Below are 5,340 nucleotides of genomic sequence, written 5' to 3'. Positions count from 1 at the left end.
ATCCCAGCACTTTGGGAGGCCAAGGTGGGTGAATCAGCTAAGGTCAGGAATTTGAGACCTGCCTAGCCAATATGGTGAAACCCTGTCTCCACTAAAAACACAAAATAGGTAGATACATAATACAAATAGAAGACAGATAGATAATTGTTTATTTAACATTATTGTATTTGTTGCAATAACCAACCTTTTTACTTAAAAACCATTTAACAAAATATTTAAATTTAGGAATAAAATTAAAATCTTAAAACCCCAAAACAAAATTAAAAATCACCTTGCAAGCAGTTAAACTGAATGAAAACAATGAATAATGGGAAAAAATAGAAAAAAAAATATTTCTTCTAGGATCCAAAGGAAAATGTAAAAGATACATATGTTCAAATAAACATTGAAAACAATGGACACAAAGACTATAGTTAACTATAGTTATAGCCAACTAGTTGACTATATATACCTTTTTCAACCACTAGTAACCACTATTCTACTCTCTACTTCTACAAGATTAACTTTTTTAGCTTCCATATATGAGTGAGAGCATTTTATATTTCTTTGCCTGACTTATTCATGTAACATAATGTCCTCCAGGCTCACCCATATTGCCATGAATTACAGGATTTCATTCTTTTTATAGCCGAATACTATTCCATTAGATGTATATACCACATTTTCTTTATTCATTCATCCATTGATGGGCACTTAAATTGATTCTATATCTTTGCTACTGTCAATATGCTGCAATAAACACAGTAGCGCATATATCTCTTTGACATACTGATTTCCTTTCTTTCGGATACAAACCCAGCAGTGGGATTGCCCGGTCATATTTTTAGCTTTTTGAGGAAACTCCCTACTTTTTTTTTTTTAAATAATGGCTGTATTAATTTACACTTCTACCAACAGTGTATAAAAAGAGTCTCCTTTTATCTGCATCCTCGACAGCACTTGCTAATTTTTGCCTTTTTTGTAGCCATTCTAATTGGGATGAGATGATATCACATTTTGGTTTTGACTTGCATTTCTCTGATCATTAGTGATTAGTATTTTTTTTTCACAGACTTGGACATTTGTAAGTCTTCTTTTGAGAGTTTTCTATTCAGATCATTTGCTCTTTTTTAATTGGATTACTATTTTTTGACTGTTGAGTTTCTTTTATATCCTGGATATTAATTCCTTGTCTGATGAACACGTTACAAATATTTCTTCTGGTCTGCAGGTTGTCTTTTCATTATTGATTCTTTCCTTTGATGTGCAGAAGTTTTTTTTTATTTTGATATAATCTAATTTGTTTATTTTGACTTATGTTGCCTGGGCTTTTGAGATGTTAGCCATAAATTCTTGGCCAAAACCAGTGTCCCAGAGTATTTTCTCTATGTTTTCTTTTAGTAATTTCATAGTTTCGGGTCTTTAAGTCTTTAGTCCATTTGGGGCTGATTTTTTATATGGTGAGAGGTAGGAGTCTAGTTTCATTCTTCTACATATGGATATACAGTTTTTCCAGCACCATTTATTGAAAAGACCAATAAATGTTCTTGGCACCTTTGTCAAAAATCAGTTGGCTATAAATAGATTAATATGGGGCTTTTGTTCCATTGACCTATGTGTCTATTTTTATAATTATGCTGTTTTGGTTACTATAGCTTTGTAGAATATTTTGAACACAGATAATGTGATGCCTTCAGCTTTGTTTTCCTTCCTCAGGATTACTTTGACTATTTGGTGTCTTTTGTGGTTTGTACAAATTTTAGGATTGTATTTTTTCTATTTCTGTAAAGAATGCCACTGGTATTTTGATAGGGGTTGCATTGAATCTGTAGATCACTTTGAGTAGTGTGGTAATTTTAACAATATTTCCCCTTCCAATTTATGACATGAGATGTCTTTTCATTTTTGTGGGTGTCCCCTTCAGTTTCTTTCATCATTGTTTTATAGTTTCCTTGATGGACATTTTTCATCTCCTTTGTTAAATTTACTCCTAGGTATTTTATTTATTGGGTAGCCATTATACATGAAATTGCTTTCTTGAATTCTTTTTTCACCTAGTTCATTACTGGTATACAAAAATGCTACTAATTTTTGTATGTTGATTTTGTATACTGCAACATTACTGAATTCATCTATCCATTTTAAAAGTTTTTTTGGTGAAATCTAGCTTTTTCTCTATTTAAGGTCATGTTGGCACGGAGAGATAATTCAACTTTCTTCTTTTTAATTTGGATACTTTCTTTCTTTTTTTTGCCTAATTGCTATGGCTAGGACTTTCAGTTCTATGTTGAATGAGAGTGGCGAGAGTGAGCACCCTTGTCTTGTTCCAGTTCTTAGAAAAAAAAAACCTTCAGCTTTTCCTTGTATAGTGTAATGTTAATTGTTGCTTTGTCATATTTTGCTTTTATTTTGTTATATGCTGGAACTCCTGTTCTTAATCTTATCTATAAAATCCTTATATGAGATAAAAACATAAAATGTCACATAAATGAGGTATTAGTATGAATTTTTTTGGTCATATTTTGACTGGTTTTCACATAAACAATGGTAAAAAAAAAAAAAAATAGTCTCTCCACAAGACTTCTGAGCATGCTACCCTGAAAATAGCTCAGACAAATAAGATTCTATGCCACCTATCTTTGCCTCAGAAATATATTTCAGAAGCTAATAATTTTCAGAACCTGGAAATAGTCCTCAGGTATGCAATTTATATTCTTTATTAGGTAGTGTCATTTAGGACTCTTTGTTTTATCTTTGGTAAAAATAAATACTGGTGATTATATCTTTGATGACTTCTTGAGTACCCTTTAGCCTTCTAGTCTTAGGCTTTTAATTTTTTATCATGTATTTCCTTCTCCAGTTCTTTGCACATCATTGAAATATTTTTGGCAACAATAAACAATTAGCTCCACAATATCTACAAATACCAACAATAAAAGACTTACAATAACATCTTTGTTCACTAATGCTAGTGGATTTTTTAATGTCATAGTTTTTAATGCACTCAAGTAAAAATGAAAAACAAAAATTACTTGATTCAAATTCTAAGACTTAATAGAACCTTTAGCCTTAAATTACAGATTAGAGATGAAGACTGCCCAGAAAATAAGTGAATGAGAAAATACACCAACTCTTTTTTTAAAAAAACAAAGGATTTGGTCAGAAAAAACAAAAGAAGTGTAGATTGTTTTTATTTCTTTGTGTCTTTAGCAAATTAACATAACCTTCTCTGTTCAATGTGCAGCAGCTTCCCATGGTTCAATGAAAGTGGACAGTAAGAATCACACAACTGAAAAGAATAACGAGACACCATTTTATTTATTCCCCTCACTAGGTTTACTTTACCTAAATCTTCTCTAGAGTTTTCATAAAAGCCTTTGGCAGAAATACAAAATTCTTAGGAGAGCCATAGTACTTTATTAAATCTCCACCATGGTATTCATAAACAATTTTCATATATGCATACAGACTATTTACTGTCTGTTGTTTTCTAGTTCTCAAGTTAAAATGTAATTACCACCAGAAGTTAAGTTTACATTTTCCAGTTCTAGCTCTCCTGCTCTTTCTGGTGTTTTACACAGAATCCTAGTACATTAAGAAAATAAACTCTCAGAATGCAGTTAAAAGAAAACGCCAGTTATTATAAAAGTTTCCAATATAATTCTTTTTTTAACAGCTTTATTGGGGTATAGCTGATGTATGATAAACCATATCTTGTTAAAAAGCAACATTTGATAAATTGTTACGTATGCATCTAGGAAACATTACAATAATCACGATAAAGAACATATTTATCTTCCTCAGAGTTTCTTGGTGCCCCAGTAAAATCTCTCCCTTTGTAGTCTCCATTTGAATACAAAATGTAGTGAATGAATGTTCAAAGAGAAGGTGGCCTACAAACATCAAGCCTTTTTGGTATGTATCAACAAGGAATTATATCCTGTATGCAAATACATTAAGAATGATATTCCAACCAGATCTTGAGGACAGTCACCCAGCAAAGACACCACTATCTAAACTGCCACTCTATTAAAGAAAAACACACTTTGGAGTGTGTGTGGTGGTAAAAATTACTTTATCCACTAGTATTTGAGGAGCTCCATAGCCAGAGTGAATCTTCTTAACCAGTGTGAGACAGCAAGATTCAGATTCTGTTAGGATAAAGCTGTGTATATAGGGCTAAAGGAGAATAATGTAGATTAAGTAATAAGTAGCCTGCCCTTAACCATGGGGACTACATTTCAAGATGCCTGGTTGATGCCTGAAATCGAGGATAGTACCAAACCCTGTGTATGCTATGCATTAATTTTTTTTCTTCACAACTGCACAGATGAAGTTTGGTTCTTACAATGTAGATCTTAGCCAGCTTAGTATATATATATTTTCTTTCCTTATTAACAACTTAAAGGAAGCATTCTATGGCTTCTCTTTGGTATATCTAATTGTTAGCATTACTACTCTTGTGCTTTGGGTCCATTAAGAAATACAGTAAGAGTTTCTTGAACAAAATCACTGAAATACTGGGACAGGTGATAACCCTAAGTGACTAACAATCAGGGAGCACCTATAGAGCAGATACTCTGGGCAGAAGAAGGTGGGACTGCCCAACATTTCATCAGGTTACTCAGAACACTGTATACATTTACAACTTATGAATTATGTCTGGAATTTTCTATTTAATATTTTCTGACCACAGTTGACTGTAGGTAATTGAAACTGTAGAAAGCCAAACCACAGATAAGGTGGGACTACTGTATTATTTCTCTTCTTCTGTGTCTTTACCTCCATGGGTTATGAAAGAAAAAAAAAGAATTTCACTGAAGCATACGCATGCTGTGAAGATACTTTTGCAGGTATAGTTGCTCCAGAAAGAAAGCTGAGACTGGGTATTATGTGTATAGAACACTCTCATATATTAAAGGCACACATTTCAGCAAAGTGAGAGGACTCCAAGATATATATGTATGTACACACACATACACACACAAAATTTCAGGACTAACCTTCTAGACGGCAATAAAAAATTGCCACAAGAGTATCTGTGTTTTTGGAAGCATGTTCTGAATCAACAGTGTCTAGCAACTCAAGTTGAACATAGTTGTATGTGCTAGAGGTAGTGAGTTTTAACTGGAAAATCTCACTGTTTGCTTGCATGCTGTCCACACAGTGAAGGACATGGTTGAAGGCATAGAAAGAATATGGTTTACTATGTCTCCATGATGGAAAGTAGGTTTTCATATCCTTTACCATCCTCACAAGTTCTTCAGAAAGCTTTTTTTTTTTTTTAAATTGTGCTTTTTCCTTCTAGTGTACTTTAGTTATTTCCTTCAATTTCCTATAACTCCTCATTCTAAATTGTTG

The 5,340-nt window shown here is 32.7% G+C and overlaps 1 long non-coding RNA gene and 1 pseudogene across 2 annotated transcripts in view; both read right to left on the bottom strand.

The window, feature by feature from the left end:
* LOC105375148 (uncharacterized) overlaps nt 1-5,340 on the bottom strand; it is a 147,709-nt gene that overhangs the window by 129,993 nt on the left and 12,376 nt on the right. The window lies entirely within an intron of this gene.
* On the bottom strand, nt 3,704-5,251 carry PER3P1 (PER3 pseudogene 1; annotated as a pseudogene). The gene has a single exon (NR_002790.3). The product of NR_002790.3 is annotated as a PER3 pseudogene 1 (transcript).

The sequence above is a fragment of the Homo sapiens genome, chromosome 7 (assembly GCF_000001405.40).
Source record: "Homo sapiens chromosome 7, GRCh38.p14 Primary Assembly".
NCBI classification, from domain to species: Eukaryota; Metazoa; Chordata; class Mammalia; order Primates; family Hominidae; genus Homo; species Homo sapiens.
The sequence above is the reverse complement of the archived record's forward strand: the minus strand, read 5'-3'. Positions and strand labels throughout refer to the sequence as shown.